General features: G+C 40.2%; 1 long non-coding RNA gene and 1 pseudogene across 1 annotated transcript; both read left to right on the top strand.

Annotated features, from left to right (window-relative positions):
- Window positions 1-299: 299 nt before the first annotated feature.
- LOC124905206 (uncharacterized) lies at window positions 300-15,809 on the top strand. The gene is made up of 2 exons (XR_007068305.1): window positions 300-560; window positions 10,763-15,809. It is a non-coding gene; the product is annotated as an uncharacterized LOC124905206 (long non-coding RNA).
- On the top strand, window positions 10,768-11,223 carry LOC105373314 (UDP-GlcNAc:betaGal beta-1,3-N-acetylglucosaminyltransferase-like protein 1; annotated as a pseudogene).
- Window positions 15,810-16,771: the final 962 nt, after the last annotated feature.

Below are 16,771 nucleotides of genomic sequence, written 5' to 3'. Positions count from 1 at the left end.
AAATCTTTGCTCTGTGGCCCCAGATAGCTTCCAGAACCTGCTAACTTTCTCTACAAGGTGCTTCAGAGCAAGTGCAAAAATGAGTTCCGTCTGTCACACCTACTCTATAAACAATATAAAGGTGTCTTAACTCACTGAGTGGCAAAAGCCTCTTCAGGTGCAAGGGTGTACAATTATATAGTACTATGTGAGGCTAAAATGCTGATGCTCAAGTCTGTTTAAATAAACCAACAATCTCTGTGGGTCTAATTTTCCAAAGTGGTGATTAGGGTTTTTTTGTTTGTTTGTTTTTTTGACAGGGTCTCACTCTGTCACCCAAGTTGGAATGCAGCAGCATGATCACAGCTCATTGCAGCCTTGACTTCCCAGTCTCAAGCAATCCTCCCATCTCAGCCTCTTGAGTAGCTGGGACCACAGGCACACACCACCATTTAGCCAGGCGTGGTGGTGTGTGCCTGTGGTCCCAGCTACAGTGTCTCTCTATATTGTCCAGCCTTGTCTCGAACTCCTGGGCTCAAGTAATCTTCTGTCTCAACATCCCAAAGTAATTTCCCAAAAAAGTGAGTATGTCTTTATTTCTAAGGTTGTTCTGAACAAAAGATATTTCATCTCTCTCCGGCCTTGCCAAAATAAGAGGGTTTGGATATTCTTAGACCAACAATAAGCATTATACCAACCCTATGTCTTGCTACTAAAGAGGGACCATGTTTAAATGGCATCATGTAGGATGAAGTTGAAATGTGAGTTAAAATGTGGAATGGCCAAGGTCATTCAGGCAAGTAACTTTTCCAGAAATCATTTTAAAAATTGATTTTTATATGTTTAACTGTTTGAGATATTTTATGTCTAGTACAGTCTGGGAGCGAAATTTCTACAAAAGCTGATTTCACTCCAGCATCTATTTCAAATCATTTATTTATTCAACAATTATTGGTTGAGTACTCACTACATGTCAGACCCTATTCTAAACCTCAGGGATAAGAAGTGAACAAAACCAAGTCCCTGCCCTCATGGAGCTTGCAATCTTGTGAGGGATACATAATAAATTTTTTGTTTGTTTGTTTTTGAGACAGAGTCTCGCTCTGTCGCCCAGGCTGGAGTGCAGTGGCGCGATCTCGGTTCGCTGCAAGCTCAGCCTCCTGGGTTCACGCCATTCTCCTGCCTCAGCCTCCCGAGTAGCTGGGACTACCGGCGCCCGCCACCACGCCCGGCTAATTTTTTTATATTTTTAGTAGAGATGGGGTTTCACCATGTTAGCCAGGATGGTCTCGATCTCTTGACCTCATGATCCGCCCACCTCGGCCTCCCAAAGTGCTGGGATTACAGGCGTGAGCCACCGTGCCCGGCCGGGTTACATAATAAATTAATCAATACATATATACTGTATCATCACATGCTGATCATTACTCATTGGAAAATTAAAGCAGGATAAAGAGATAGAGAGTGAATGGGAGGGGTTATTTTATACAAGGTAGTCAGGTACAGCCACTCTTAGGTGGTGATGTTTGAGTAGATACATTAATGTAGTGAGGGAATAAACCATATACAGTTTCCGGGGAAGATCTTTCCAGGACAAGGCGGCAGCGTATCTGAAGGTTCTGAGGTATGAATGAGTTTACCATATTCTAGAAACGGCAAGGAGAAGAGTAAGGCTAGAACAGGGTATACAAAGCAGTGGAACATGAGGTCAGAGAGGTGGAGGTGGATTGAATAAAAAACATGTAGGGCCATACTGGCTCACGATTAGGATTTTAGACTTAATTAGAAAAGTGATTAGACAAGAGAGTAATGTGGTCTGGTTTACAATTTAAAAGTCCTCTGCTTGCCCTTGCCACTGTGTATAGGTTAAAATTGGCCAATTCCTGATGACTATTTGACAGAGCCCCCTAAAAAGACCTCTTTCTTTTTACTTTGGGCAAAAAGAAATTTACCATAATTGCAGACCCTGGGGGAGCTCAGTAGTACTCCAGTTCTCTGCCTTTAGTGTTTCAGTTTTCATTTTCCCCTTTCCGGTGGACATGGTCCAAGGCCCCTCATCGGTGTCTGGCTGAAAGTAATCTACTCAGCTTTACAGACACATGCACATTCTGTAACTATTCAGCCATTTCTCCCTGTCCCTAAGCCTGTGGGTGGAATAGATATGTCACTACATTTCTGTTAACCTGGTAGTATTTCATTACTTGGGTTCTCTGAAATAATTATTGGCCCGATAGTGGGGCTCCTGTTGTCATGAGACTTGCTTTAGTGCCTTGCTCTGGCACTCCTGTTTCAAAGCATATTTGCAAATAGCTCCAGGAACTCCAGTAAAAGTCTCCTTTCCTTTTCCTCCAAAAGGATCAGTATATACCTCTAAACAACTTAGAACTTACAGTCCTCAAGTCACCACATTATTCTAGGAATAGCTTTCATTCTGTTTTTTTTTTTTTTTCTCTCCCAGGCAAAAACTGAGAAGTAAAGTTCTTTAGCAACCAAATGGCAGAACCAGATTTAGAATCCAGTAAAAACTATCTGTGAACTGTAGGAAACTATGTCATTATATGTTGTTTTGTTGCTAAAGATATACTAATTTGCCATTTAAAATTTCACCTTCTGCCAGGCGCGGTGGCTCACGCCTGTGATCCCAGCACTTTGGGAGGCTGAGGCGGGCGGATCATCTGAGGTCGGGAGTTCGAGACCAGCCTGACCAACATGGAGAAACCCCGTCTCTACTAAAAATACAAAAATTAGCCAGGCGTGGTGGTGCATTCCTGTAATACTAGCTACTTGGGAGGCTGAGGCAGGAGACTCACTTGAACCTGGGAGGTGGAGGTTGCAGTGAGCCGAGATTGCGCCATTGCTGGGCAACAAGAGCAAAACTCAGTCTCAAAAAAAAAAAAAAAAATCACCTTCCTCAGTACCCAGACTATAAACTTTACTGGCCTTTATTTAGATTCAGTTTTCAAAAAGAAGCTCCCCCCACCCCCATCAGTTTTATTTTAAAATATATTTTAAAACCTGCAACTTATTGGGAAAAATATGGAGATTGCTTTATTTTTGTTGTATGCATAATAAAACTAAATAACCAAGACTAACATTAGTTTGAACTTTACCTTGGAACATGTCCACGAAGAACAAAGGAAGGCAGACTAATCTTCTTTTTGACTTTCTCCACTCCAGCTTCTTATATCAAAGACCCTTGGACACAAGTAAGTTATAGCTTTTGAATTACTTATGGTAGCTTGGATCCATCCTGAAGGCTTTGCATACTTAGAATGGAGATTTTGCCCTGATTCCAGTCTTCTATCTGTTTTTCAAGTTATTTCAGCCATTATTTTACTTCATTCAGACTCCTTATCTTTCAAACCACATTATTTGGGAGGATGAGTTATGGGCTGAATCAGACTGATTGTCAATTTTGATTTGGGAGGAAGGTTTCTGAAACGCAACAGTGCTGTGGCTCATTGCTCAGTATTCCAAGAGATATCATTGCTATGATTCTCAAAGTTTTCAAATCTTTAGAAAGAATGTTGGACAGTTAATATGTTTCAGGCATATTACTTCAGAGCAAATCTCCTAAGAGATTGGTAGACCTCCTCCAAAGCTGACTTTGGCTATACTTGGGTTTGTTTAACTAAGATAATGAAATAAAGGCAGCTAACTGCAGATTAGCTTCCACATGCTTTTTTTTTTTTTAATGCAAAGTTTACAGTGACTCCAAATCAAAATTTGGCAAATTTTCTAATGCAGGGTGCCACACTGCTGACTTCTATTATTCTGGAAAAGGAATAAGCATGGGCAAGGTGCACAAAGAGGACTCTCACTCTGCTGAAGGAGGCAACCTACAGATAGTGTTAACATGGTTATGTTTTAAAATGAAAATATTTCATAGATAGGTTAAATATATTGTCTTTGATTTTAGGTAGCAAGTGGATTTTTAGGGGTTAGAGCAGGCGTTGGCACATTTTTTTTTTTAAAGGTCCAAACATTAAATATTTTAGTCTTTGTGGATTACACAGTCTGTCACAGCTTCTCAACTCTGCTGTTGTGGTGCAAAAGCATGCATAACACTACATAGCTGAATGGGCATGACTGTATTCAAATAAAACTTTATTTACAAAAGCACAGCAGGCTGAGTTTGGCTCATGCACCATAGTTTACTGACTTCTTGATTATAATACTTAGAGTAGAGGTTTCTTAACCGAATAATTTCAACACAGCCAAAGGACATAATGAAATTATTACTATTATTTTTGAGACAGGGTCTCACTCTGTCACCCAGGCTGGAGTGCAATGGTGCCATCTGGACTTACTGTAACCTTGAGCTCCTGGACTCAAGCTGGAACTACCAGCTACTCTGGAGGCTGAGGTGCCTCTGGAGTGTGAGGTATACCACCACACCCAGCTAATTTTTCTTTTGTAGAGATGGGGTCTCACTATGTTATCCAGGCTGGTCTGGAACTCCTGGCCTCAAGTGATCCTCCTGTCTCGGCCTCCCAAAGTGCTGGGCTTATAGGTGTGCCCAGCCCATCATGAAATTATTGGACAACTGAGAGAATGACTTGAGATGGGGTAGCTACTTTATAATCTTGCCATCAACCCTAGAGTCTTCACTTTACTGAAAGTCACCTCATCTGCTGCCTTTGGACTTGAGCTAATATTTTACTCCGGCTAAAAGAGGAGACACTGCTGATATTCATTTTTCATTGATCTTCTTCTCATAATTCCCTTAGAAATAGCAAGATCTGGCATTAGAATTCTAGAACATTAGAATTTCTAGAAGTCTTGCTTATAGCAAATTTCATAAGGCAGCTAGTGACTTTAAAAAGGATCTTTATAGGAGCCATTTGAAGTACAATAAGTAGGAGTTATTTCAATGTATCTCACTCCAGTTTCTAATTTTGCATATGGCCAAGTAACACTTTACGTCATTTTGCTGCTTAATTCCTTTTAGAACTTGTCTAAATAGTTTTGGGCATTTACTAAGACATGCACTTGTTTTTTTACCATATATCAGAGTAACCATGTATAACTATTATGCTTTTCCTTAAGGCTTACAGAGAGAATATCTTTCAATAAGCACTTTCACATATGTTTTCTCATTTAATATAATTTAATTATTTTTACAGATGAATCATAGAGAAGATAAAGTTACTTGCCCAAGGTCACCCAACTAGTTGAGTGCAGTCAGGCTTCAAAAACAGGTCTGTCTGACTGCAGAGACTTTGCTTTTTCCACTACATCACAATGCCTACAGGAAGCTACTTGCAGTTCTTGGCAAGCATTGTCCTTTTTTTTTTTCTTTTTACCTTAGTTGTTTTCAAGTAAATCGTAGAAGAAAGTGAATAGCATAGTATTTGATTCTTTTCCTATATTTCGGAAAGATGTGTTTTCAAAAGGGGATATGGTGAATGCTTTTGTTTAAAAAAACCATAGTTCTATAACTAGAATATTTCCAAATAAGGGTGGCTTCCAAAAATGATTTGCTTTCTTGGCAGTCTCCACACATTCTTTGTGAATGCAACTACATTTCCCATCTTCCTTGTTCAGCAAAGAGTCAGATGCTAATAAAATTTTTTGAAAGGTGTGGCTTGGTAATATTCTTTTCAAATTTGAAATAATCAGACTTCCTGGCATCATAATTTTAAACTGTGGTAGAGCTGGCTGATAAGTTAAACATCTGGAAATTGACTTTTGTTGGGGTGTAGTTCTGTGTAACCCTAAATGTGGATATGAATTAGGGTAGAAGCTAATGCCAAAATCTTAAGATAAAGCTATTCAAGTGTGTGCTTTTTATAAGTGTGAGATAAATTTCCTGTTATCAGAATGGCTTTTTTTTTCTTGGCCAGAGCAGAAAACATCATAGTGAATCATTGCATGATAAAAACTGGGGTTAGAAGAGCTCATCGAGCTCATCCTTAACATTGTTGCAGCATGTATGATTCTGAGGCTTCAATCATTGTTATGCAAAAATATAACTATTTCTCTAACATCTATATTTCAGAGTTTGAGCCCCAATGGTGGGCTCCTTAACATAGCAATGTCATGCATTTGAGTTCTTGTGTGATACCAAGGTGCTGGGGGATATGGGGTGAATCACAGTAATGAAGAGACAGGCATATAGTTGTTAATCAGAGGTGTAAATAGATAACTGCTGAGATGTCCAGTCTCCTGGTCCTTGGGTCCCTTCAAGTCAGAGGTCCTTGGCTGCTTTCCTAGTGCTCTTGGGGCTGAGGAATCTTTGCCAACTCTTCATACAGACTTGCCTGTCAAGAAGCACCTAACAGCCGTTGCTTTCTAGGATCTTGATGCTTCCCTGCTAGAACAGCCGATAAATGAAAGTTACTTGATTCTCTGCACTCCTCTCGCCCAGCTTGGAATAATCCATTTCTAGTTTGAGGAAAAGCCTTCTCCCTTTCTATATTTTAAACGTCCTCAGTGCTTGTGGAATTTCTTCCTTTGTGGGATTAGACCTCTTGAATCCCTGAACTTGCAAGACACTTACGGTTTTTGCTGTGTCACCTTTTATCTCTTTTCCCCAAGACAGTGAGAACAGAGCCAGCTACCTACTCAGATGGAAGGAAAGAAAAGGGCAGAATATATGAAGAAAAAAATAGTTAAAACCTTAAAATATTAGCTTATCACCTTATTCAGCAGAACCAGCTAACTGCTCATCTGTGGAGTTTTCTCAGTGCTTGATGAACTTTGATTTAGAGTACAGAAATCATAGTGCTATGGTGACTATCACAAAAATCAGTATAAGCCTATAAAACCCAGTCCTTAAAAACTCTAGAATGAGAAGTGGGTCCACGGTGCTGAAGAAAGGGCTGCTCTTGTGAAAGTTTCGACTTTTCTATCTTTTTAAAAGAATACTAATTTTGCCAGGCATGGTGGCTCATGCCTGTAATCCCAGCAATTTAGGATGCCGAGGCAGGTGGATCACCTGAGGTCAGGAGTTCGAGACCAGCCTGGCCAACATGGCAAAACCCTGTCTCTACTAAAAATACAAAAAATTAGCCGGGTGTGGTGGCAGGTACTTGAACCCGGGAGGCGGAGGTTGCAGCAAGCCGCAATTGCGCACTCCAGCCTGGGCAACAAGAGCAAAAAAACTCCATCTAAAAAAAAAAAAACTAATTTTATCATTATTTTGTAGAGACAAGGTCTTGCTGTGTTGCCCAGGCTGAACTTAACCTCCTATTTCCTTCCTTCCTTCCTTCCTTCCTTCCTTCCTTCCTTCCTTCCTTCCTTCCTTCCTTTTTCTTTCTTTCTTTCTTTCTTTCTTTCTTTCTTTCTTTCTTTCTTTCTTTCTTGCTTGCTTGCTTGCTTGCTTGCCTGATGGTCTGGCTCTGTTGCCCAGGCTTGAGTGCAGTGGCGTGATCTCGGCTCACTGAAACCTTCACCTCCTGGGTTCAAGTGATTCTCCTGCCTCAGCCTCCTGAGTAGCTGGGATTTCAGGCATCCGCCACCATACTGACTAATTTTTGTATTTTTCATAGAGATGGGGTTTTGCCATGTTGGTCAGGCTAGTCTCAAACTCCTGACCTCAGGGCATCTACCAGCCTTGGCCTCCCAAAGTGCTAGGATTATAGGCGTGAGCTACCGCACCTGGCCAACCTCCTATTTTCTAATTATCATTAATACTAACTACAGAGCAGTTGTTTGGATCACAACAGAATACATATTATGCAGCAATTAAAAGTTATCCTTTTAAGAAATATTTAATGTCATCAGGAAGTGCTCACAATGTAATGTCAAACGAACAAAGTAGGATTTTAAAAGTTTGCATCTAGAGAATATCAGAGATCATGTTTATTTTCATATACTAGAACTTTGACTATAATAGGTTTTTCAAATAGGATTTTATTTTCCTCATATTACCAAAAATATGAAGGTAGAACATCCTGAGCTTCTCCAATGTTTTCCCGTCATCATCCATGTCCCAGGCTCCTTCTATCTTTCCATTCTACCACTCTTAGCCCGTGATTTTGTCCTCATGCTTGTCATCTCATGGTTACAAGGTGGCTGTTCCACATCCAGCCTCACATGCATGCTCCCAGGAAATAATAAGGAAAGCAAGATGTTGCCTGAAATCTCCAATAAACTTTCCCTTCCATCTCATTCATCCAGAATCTTTAACTAACTGGAAACATTGGTTTTTGCTGGAACTATTGCTATACTGCAGAGAATTGAATTCCTTTAGTAAAGAAGAAGGGTAAAATGCACATTAGACTGGTGTATCTCAATGTAGTAACAAAAAGAAGCATAACACAAGCAGCCATACCTCTATTCTCTTGCCCAGATAAAAGACTAAGTGACTATATGCCAAAACATTACCAGTGTTTATATTTTAGTGGTATTGTTTTTAATCTTCTTATTTATAATTGTCTGTATTCCTCGAATTTTCTAGAGTGAATATATACTATTTTTATAATCTGAGAAACAGCAATTTTAAACAAAAATGTACACACATAAGTTTAAAAATGAAATACTTTATGTACTAATGTAGTAAGCATTCTACTTATATGATGCTAAAAAAAGCAAATTTCAAACAACTCTGATCCCATTTATTCTCTTAAAATGTAGAGAGATTTGGACAAGGCATAGATATCCTTATAAGAATTGAAAGGAATTTGTAAGACTACGCATCAATCTGTTAAGTTTTCTTGGAGGAGCAGTGTTGAGGGAAGCATACCTGATTTTTTTTTAATGATACGTTCGTTATTATTTAAATTCTTTTTATGACAAGAATATATTGCTATTTTTGTTTTCATTTTTGTTTTTTGTTTTGTTTTGTTTTTTTGAGACAAAGTCTTACTCTGTTGCCCAGGCTGAAGTGTAGTGGCGCAATCACGGCTCACTGCAGTCACAACCTCCTGGGCTCAAGCGGTCCTCCCACCTCAGGCTCCCAAGTAGCTGAGACTATGGGTGCGCGCCACCATGTCCAGCTAATTTTTCATTTTTTTTGTAGAGATGGGGGACTCTTTATGTTGCCCTGGCTGATCTCAAACTCCTGGGCTCAAGCGATCCTCCTGCCTCAGCCTCCCAAAGTGCTTGGATTACAGGTGTGAGCCACCGCTCTCAGCCGGTGGCTTCTAAAAATTTAAATCTAAATATACCAAAGTAAACAAAAATTCAGGTTAGTCCAATAAAGGGTCACGGTCTTTAAGGCTCCGGACTTCTGTTTTTGAGACAGTGATTTTTTGCTCATTTTGGGTAGAGTGGAACCTTTGCAAGATATAGTGAAGTATGAGATGTTGCCTTCCTCAACTTCAGAAATGTGCTGTTGAATAATTGCTTTCATATGGGACATAAATATCAGTGAGAAAAGGGATCACAGACCCTAGCAGAGTAGGAAAGGTCGGTAGCAGATCAAAAGATGGATTGCATTGAAAAAGACAACTCCAGCTTGAACACCAAAGACAAGTTTGTAGGAAGCAATAATCAGGTCCTTTTACTTGGTGGTCTTGGAGGTCACATGAGTATTTTTCTTGATTGCCAAAAAAGCTCCTATTGCAGTTCTGCAAGCTGTTTACAGCCTTTCACAGGCTTGCCTTCTTTCCTGAGAGATATTAACAGTGATAGATGACATTTTGGAGCACAGTGCACATGTCCCTGTTCTCTTTCTGCAACCAGAAGGCCAATGATTACCCCCTTAGAAACAACAGCAGTCTGAACGTGCATGGCATGGACTAGACTTATCACCAGTGGGAACGGGACCATTGTCCCAAAATGAACGATTTTCTACTCCTGTGATTTAAGTATGCCTGAACTGCTGAAGAATACAAGACAGCATTTTATGAATGAAAGCTACTGCTGGGATGGCTCTGGAAAAAAAACATATTTCCACTATAGACACTGAACTTTTAGAATCTCTGTTGGCTGGGCACGGTGGCTCACGCCTGTAATCCCAGCTCTTTGGGAGGCCGAGGCAGGTGGATCACGAGGTCAGGAGTTTGAGACGAGCCTGGCCAACATAGTGAAACCTTGTCTCTACTAAAAATACAAAAAATTAGCAGGGCGTGGTGGTGCACACCTGTAATCTCTGCTACTCGGGAGGCTGAGGCAGGAGAATCGCTTTAACCCGGGAGGCAGAGGTTGCAGTGAGCTAAGATCACACCATTGCACTCCAGCCCAGGCGACAGCGTGAGACACCATCTCAAAACAAAACAAAATAAAACAAAAAAAGAATTTCTGTCAAATCAGCTTTTTTTTTTTTTTTTTTTTTTTTTTTTTTTTTTTTTTGCATTTTGGTAAGGCAACAACGTAAAAACGAGCAGCCTCTACTCCCAAGACTGCACATTCTCTTTTTGGCAGCTGCATTTGCTCTTCTGATTTTTATCGTTTGTTTAAAGTATGAAGATTTGTCCTTCTCAAATTCTTTCCCACATTCTACTTCCCAATGTCTATGCCTCAAGGATTTCTCCATCTGCTTCTAACCTCCCAGAGAAATCTAAAAGAGGCTCTCCACTTTCCCTCTTATGCTAGCCAACAATGTGTGAGTGGAAGTCTATTACCCATTTCAGTTTCTGTTTTCTTCTCTGGCCACCTCGGAATCAGGCATGAAAATTAAGAAATATATTTGCAAAGTGCTGGGGGAGTCATTAAAGATATGGGCAAGGAAGTACATATTACATATGTACCTATTCTCTTGGAAATCATCTGAGGGGCCTGGGGTTCTAGTTAACACTGAAATTGTTTGCCTTTAGATTCAATCACAGGAATGAAAAATGAACAACTTAGAGCAAAACCACCAGCAACGGTGGATGCTTCTCTTTCCCTCTTGCAGGGCTGCCAGAAGACCTGCTGTTTTTCTTTGACCACTTCGGAAAAGTCGGTGGGGTTGTCGACGTGGAGCAGAGCCTCCTCCTCTACTGCTACCACCAGCACACGACCACACACTCTGTCTTGGAGGCCACCATCTGGCCTTGCTGCTCCCACTTTCTCGTCCTCACGCACTGGGTGATCTTCACCATCGGGAACTGGGGGCAAGCAGGGGTGCAGGCTGGATTGCAGCGTAAGGTTGGTCTGTTTTGTGACATTGATGAGAACAAGCTCACGGGCCTCTACTGCTAGGGGAATCTCAGGAAAAGCCCAGGGTTCCAATCTACCCACTGCCCTTCATCATCTGTGTGAAGCTGGGCTTCACATATGCAGGGGGCCAGAAGGTCGACCAGAAGGGTGAGTTTGAGGATAACCCGAGGCCTCCTGAACCTGCAGGAGGACTGGGACTTCCTTCCCTTCCTCTGAGAAACCTGCAGCAGCCACTGTCAGGCAACAGTCGTGACAACTTGCAGCTGTTGTCTGCTGCTGCATCTCCGGGCTTTTGAGACCTTCCAGGCATGATTTGTCCCTTTACAACATTCACCTTTTGTGTTAAGTGCTCAGTTCAGCCCCTTGGACCTGGAGGATATGACAGTAGCTATCTTGTATGTGTAGTCCCGCAGGAGAGGAGCCTGTCCCACCAGTGTGGCAATAGCCATCAGGGTCTCACTGTGGACCAAAACTGTCCCTGGACACAGGCTGCCTGGTCCTTTTGGACCCCAGGCCTTGGCTATGGGCTCAGGACCTCCTTGTATGTGACTTTGGCCAGTCAAGGGGACTCTGTGCTAGTCTTTTTCATCTAAAATGGGAAGCAAGAAGGAGGGTTTTTGCTTGTTTGTTTGTTTTGTTGTTTTGAGATGGAATTTTGCTCTTGTTGCCCAGGCTGGAGTGCAATGGCACAATCTCGGCTCACCGCAACCTCCACCTCCTGGGTTCAAGCGATTCTCCCGCTTCAACCTCCCGAGTAGCTGAGATTACAGGCATGCGCCACCACGCCTGGCTAATTTTGTATTTTTAGTAGAGATGGGGTTTCACTATATTGGCCAGGCTGGTCTGGTCTCGAACTCCTGACCTCATGATCTGCCAGCCTCGGCCTCCCAAAGTGCTGGGATTACAGGTGTGAGCCACCACACCTGGCTGAGGGAGGCATGTTTTAAGGCTTGAATGAAATAGAAGTTAATCTGCAAAGTTAAAAAACTAAAAATCCATAATGTATTTTGATAAAAATTTACTTCCTAGCTTTTTTTTTTTTTTTCTTGAGACTAGGTCTCACCGTATCACCCAGGCTGGAGTGATGGGATCATGGCTCACTGCAGACCTCAAACTCCTGGGCTCAAGGAATCCTTCTACCTTAGCCTCCTGAGTAGCAGTGTCAACAGGCATGTACCACCACCTCCGGCTAAGTTGTTTTATTCTTTTTTAGATACAAACTCTCCCTTTGTTGCTCAGTCTGGTCTCGAACTCCTGGCTTCAAGCAATCCTTCTGCCTCAGTCTCCCCAATTGCTAGGATTACAGGCTTGAGCCATCTCACCGGCCCTAACCTTTTTAAAAAATGTGTTTTTGGGAAACTTTTCACCCATTGAAAATCAGCAATCTTCATTTTTTGTTTTCTGAAAGAACACCTTTATGAATATTTTTATGGGTTGTCAAACAAATATACTTAGTAGACTAATTTATGGCAGAATTCGAGAAACAGGGCAGCCCAAGCTATGAAATTGCACCCTGTGTTATTTGGGAGGCTTGTGTGCTTGAGTTGCCAAACTAAGCTGCACAACTGTTCTAAGCTCTTGACTGCATTGGCTTTTGCGTGACCATTTTCCTTCTTGCTCCACGTTGATTTTAGACATCTTTGAAAAATTATCATTTTCAGATGTTTGGACAAAGAGGAAAATTGTTGCCTTGGCTCCAATATCAATTCCTTTCATAACACTAAATATGCCATTGCTACTAGAGTTTTGGTTCTCCGTTTCTCCCTGAGGACATTGGTATTAAGAAGAGATTTGGCTCAAGCTACCTGATCATACCTATCTTGTATATAGTTGCTAATACAATATGATTAGCAAGACTTGGGTATAATGTTACAGTGGTGTGGTAACAGAATTCTGATTTATTCTACAGGCCCTTTGGCCATTTTGTTATTTTCCCCATTCACGTCTATTTTTTGTATTTCTAAGAAAAAGAATGTTACGGTTAGGTTATAACTATGTGGCACCACCACAATTATCATTTTCTATTCAATTTAAAATTTTGACTGTCATAAAATGCAAGCTTTACTGAATTAGAATCATTCTGGATTGTCTTGTTCCTTAGGACAACGTAATAGCCAGACCTACAAGTTCTGAGTCTGGTTATTAATGTAATTCAACCAGTCAGGCAGTGATCCAGTCCATTGTTCAGCCACTGAACCCCAACAAAAAGCTAATTTCATCAGTTATATCAATCTTGTCTAAAGATTTATAACTTGAGTAGCATTATTTCAGCAGACTCATTTTCCATAGGGCATCTGGAAAATGAAGATACTATAGAAAACGAAAATAAAAGTAGGGAAAAGAAGGATGATCATTAGATGTGTTCACCATGTTTCCTTCCAGTTCTGTTTTTATCATATGACTACACAATTTGTTCAAGTCCAGATAAATTATTGCTTCCCACAGGTCATCATTCCTTCCACTCATGTCAAAACTATTCATCATCATCTCCAAAGTGTGTTTTGACTTATGCTGTGCTTTGTAAAGGATACACCCAAGGTTGGAGGTGAAATATGTGTCAGAGACTAGGAGTACAAAAATTAGATGTTTGGCTTTGTTCATGGATACTCCCCAAGTTTGATCATGTACTTTCATGCTTCTGACCATATGCAGTCTGTTCCTTTTGTATAAAACACCCAATGATTCCCTTGCACAGCTGGTTAATTTTTCAAAGTCCTTTGAGAAGCAAACCAGTGTCACTTCTTCCAGAATGTCTTTCTTGACTTTAACCCACTGGTAATAATTTATTCAATAACAACTCTCATTTTTTTAGCAATTTCCATGGGCCAGAAAATGTACTGTTTTGAAGTTATTATCCTTCCTGACTATCCCTAAATCAGTATTTAATTATCACAACTACATTAGGAAGCAGATACTACCCCAACTTCCCAAAGAGGAAACTGCTGTTTAAAGAGATTAAGTAACTTTCTTAAGGCCACACAGCCAGTACATGGTAGAGGCAAGATTTGAACCTGACTTCTGTAGTCTATGTTCTAAGCCACTAGAGCATATGGTTTGGCTCTGTATCCCCACCCAAATCTCATCTCAAATTGTAATCCCCACTTGTCAAGAAAGGGAGGTGATTGGATTGTGGGGGTGGTTTCTCGCATGTTGTTCTCATGATAGTGAGTGAATTCTCAAGAGATCTGGTTGTTTGATAAGTGTGAGGCTCTTCTTCCTTCGTGCACTGGCTCTCTCTCTCTCTCTATCTCACCTGCCGACAAATAAAACATGCCTGCTTCCCCTTCCACCTTGATTGTAAGTTTCCTGAGGCCTCCCCAGCCATGCAGAACTGAGTCAATTAAACCTCTTTTCTTTATAAATTACCCAGTCTCAGGGAAGTTCTTTATATCCGTGTGAAAACAGACTAATACAAGTATTGTTTCCCAAAGAGCAGCACGTGAACCACTGCAGCTATGAGATAATTTTCAATGGACATGTTTACATGAATAATTTTCTATTATTTCTTCTTTTTTTTGCAAAACATTCAGAAAATAAGAAAACAAATAAATTCTCAGCATTTTGCCGAATTTTCTTTGTATTTTTATTTTGAAGAAAATAAACATTACATATAGAGTTAGAGACCTCTTTGTGGCTCTCCGAGATCTCATTCCTTTCCAATCCTCCTCAGAGGTAATCATTATCCTAAATTTAGTGTTTATCATTCCACTTCAAGTTTTTAAATGACTACTAAGTACGTATTTATCAATATACAATATGTAGTATTGTTTTACTTGTCTTCAAACTTTATGTAAATATCATACCACATGTGTTATTCTGCAGCTTGTTTCATTCACTCAACATTTAGTTATCGATATTTATTTATTTGATACACTTGGCCTCTGTTCATGCATTTCAAATGCTGAACATCATTTCATTGCATCAAAATGTCACTAGTTTATTTATACATTCTCCTTTTGACTGACATATATATTACTTCCAATGTTTGATATTATAAATAATGCTGCACTTAGCATTCTGTTGCATGTCTTCTTGTGCACATGTGCTAGATTTCTTCCAGGTACAAAGAAGCAGAATTGTAGATATACATTATATGTATCTTCAACCTTACAAAATATTACCAAATTGCTCTCTGAATGTGTCAATTTCCATTCCCACCAGCAGTTTATGAGAATTCCCTTTTCTCAAAATCTTTAACCAACTTCTTAAGTTTTCCAGTCTTCTGAGTGGGAAATGTTATTTTGTAGTTTTAAATTTGCATTTCCTGATATTAGTGATGTTAAAGGGGTTTATTAGAATAACGCCATGAAAGGGGTTTATTGGCCATTTGGATTTCTTCTTTTGTGAATTGCTCATTATCCCTATGAAAATTATTTATTTTTAAAATTTATATAGAGTAAAATTCACTATTTTTGGTACATGCTATGAGTATTTGACCAATGCATAGAGTTGTGTAATTATCACCACAGACAAGATATATGAAATAATATCCCTTTGTAGTCAACTCCTTTCTTTATGCACAATCCCTGGAAACTGCTGATTTCTTCTCCATCCCAATGGTTTTGTCTTATCCAAAATGTCATATAAATGGATTACACAGCATGTAGATTTTGGGTATCTGGTTTCTTTCACTTAGCATAATGTGTTTACGATTCCTCCATGTTGTTATGTATTTCAATAGATTGTTCTTTGTTGCTGAGTGGAATTCCATTGTATGGATGTACTACCATGTATTTGTTAATTTACCAGTTGAAGGGGTATTTTAGATTATGAATAAAGTTGCTATGAAATTTTGCATATAAGTTTTTGTGAGGCATATGTTTTCATTTCTCATGGGACTGCTGGGTCTGAGACTAGGTAATTTATAAAGAAAAGAATTTTATTTAGCTTGTTGTTCTGCATGCCAGGAAATTCGAGGACACGACCTTGGCTTCTGGCCAAGGCTACATGTTGCATCATAACATAGCAGAGAAGGTCAAGGGGAAGTGGACACATGCAAAGAGACAAAACCAACAGGCATCCTGGCTTTATAACAACCCACTCTCCTTGGAATTAATCCATTCCTGGATAATTAATCTAGTCTTGTGAGAGCAATAACTCATCCATTACCTCTAGAAGGGCACCAAGCCATTCATAATGGCTCTGCCCCCACGAACCAAATGCCTCCCACTAAGCCCCATCTACCAACACTGCCACATTCGGGATAAAATTTCAGTATGAATTTTGGTGAGGACAAACAAACCATATCCGATCCATAGAAGCTTGTGTAAATAATGATACGTAGTTTTCCTTTAATCTGTTAATATCGTAATTTATATAATTAGATTTCCCAATTTTGACCCATTCTTTCATTCTTGTGGAAAATGCTACCATGTTGAATTATATCAGGTTTTTATACACTGTTCAACTTCATATTCTTGTATTCTTTTTTTTTTTTTTTTTTTGAGACAGAAACTCACTCTGTCTCCCAGGCTGGAGTGCAGTGGCTCAAACAAGGCTCACTGCAGCCTCGACTTCCAGGGCTCAGGTGATTCTCCCACCTCAGCCTCCTGAGTAGCTCGGACTACAGGTGTGTGTCACCATGCCTGGCTAATTTTCATATTTTTTTGTGGGGATAGGGTTTCACTGTGTTGCTCAGGCTTGTCTTGAACTCCTAGGCTCAAGTAATCCGCCCACCTCAGTCTCCCACATTGCTAGGATTACAGGTGTGAGCCACCACACCTGGCTGATATTCTTGTGTTCTGTTTAGGATACTTTGCACTCA

This window comes from Homo sapiens, chromosome X (genome assembly GCF_000001405.40).
Source record: "Homo sapiens chromosome X, GRCh38.p14 Primary Assembly".
Taxonomy (NCBI): Eukaryota; Metazoa; Chordata; class Mammalia; order Primates; family Hominidae; genus Homo; species Homo sapiens.
Note: the sequence above shows the minus strand (reverse complement) of the source record. Positions and strands in the feature narration are given on the sequence as shown.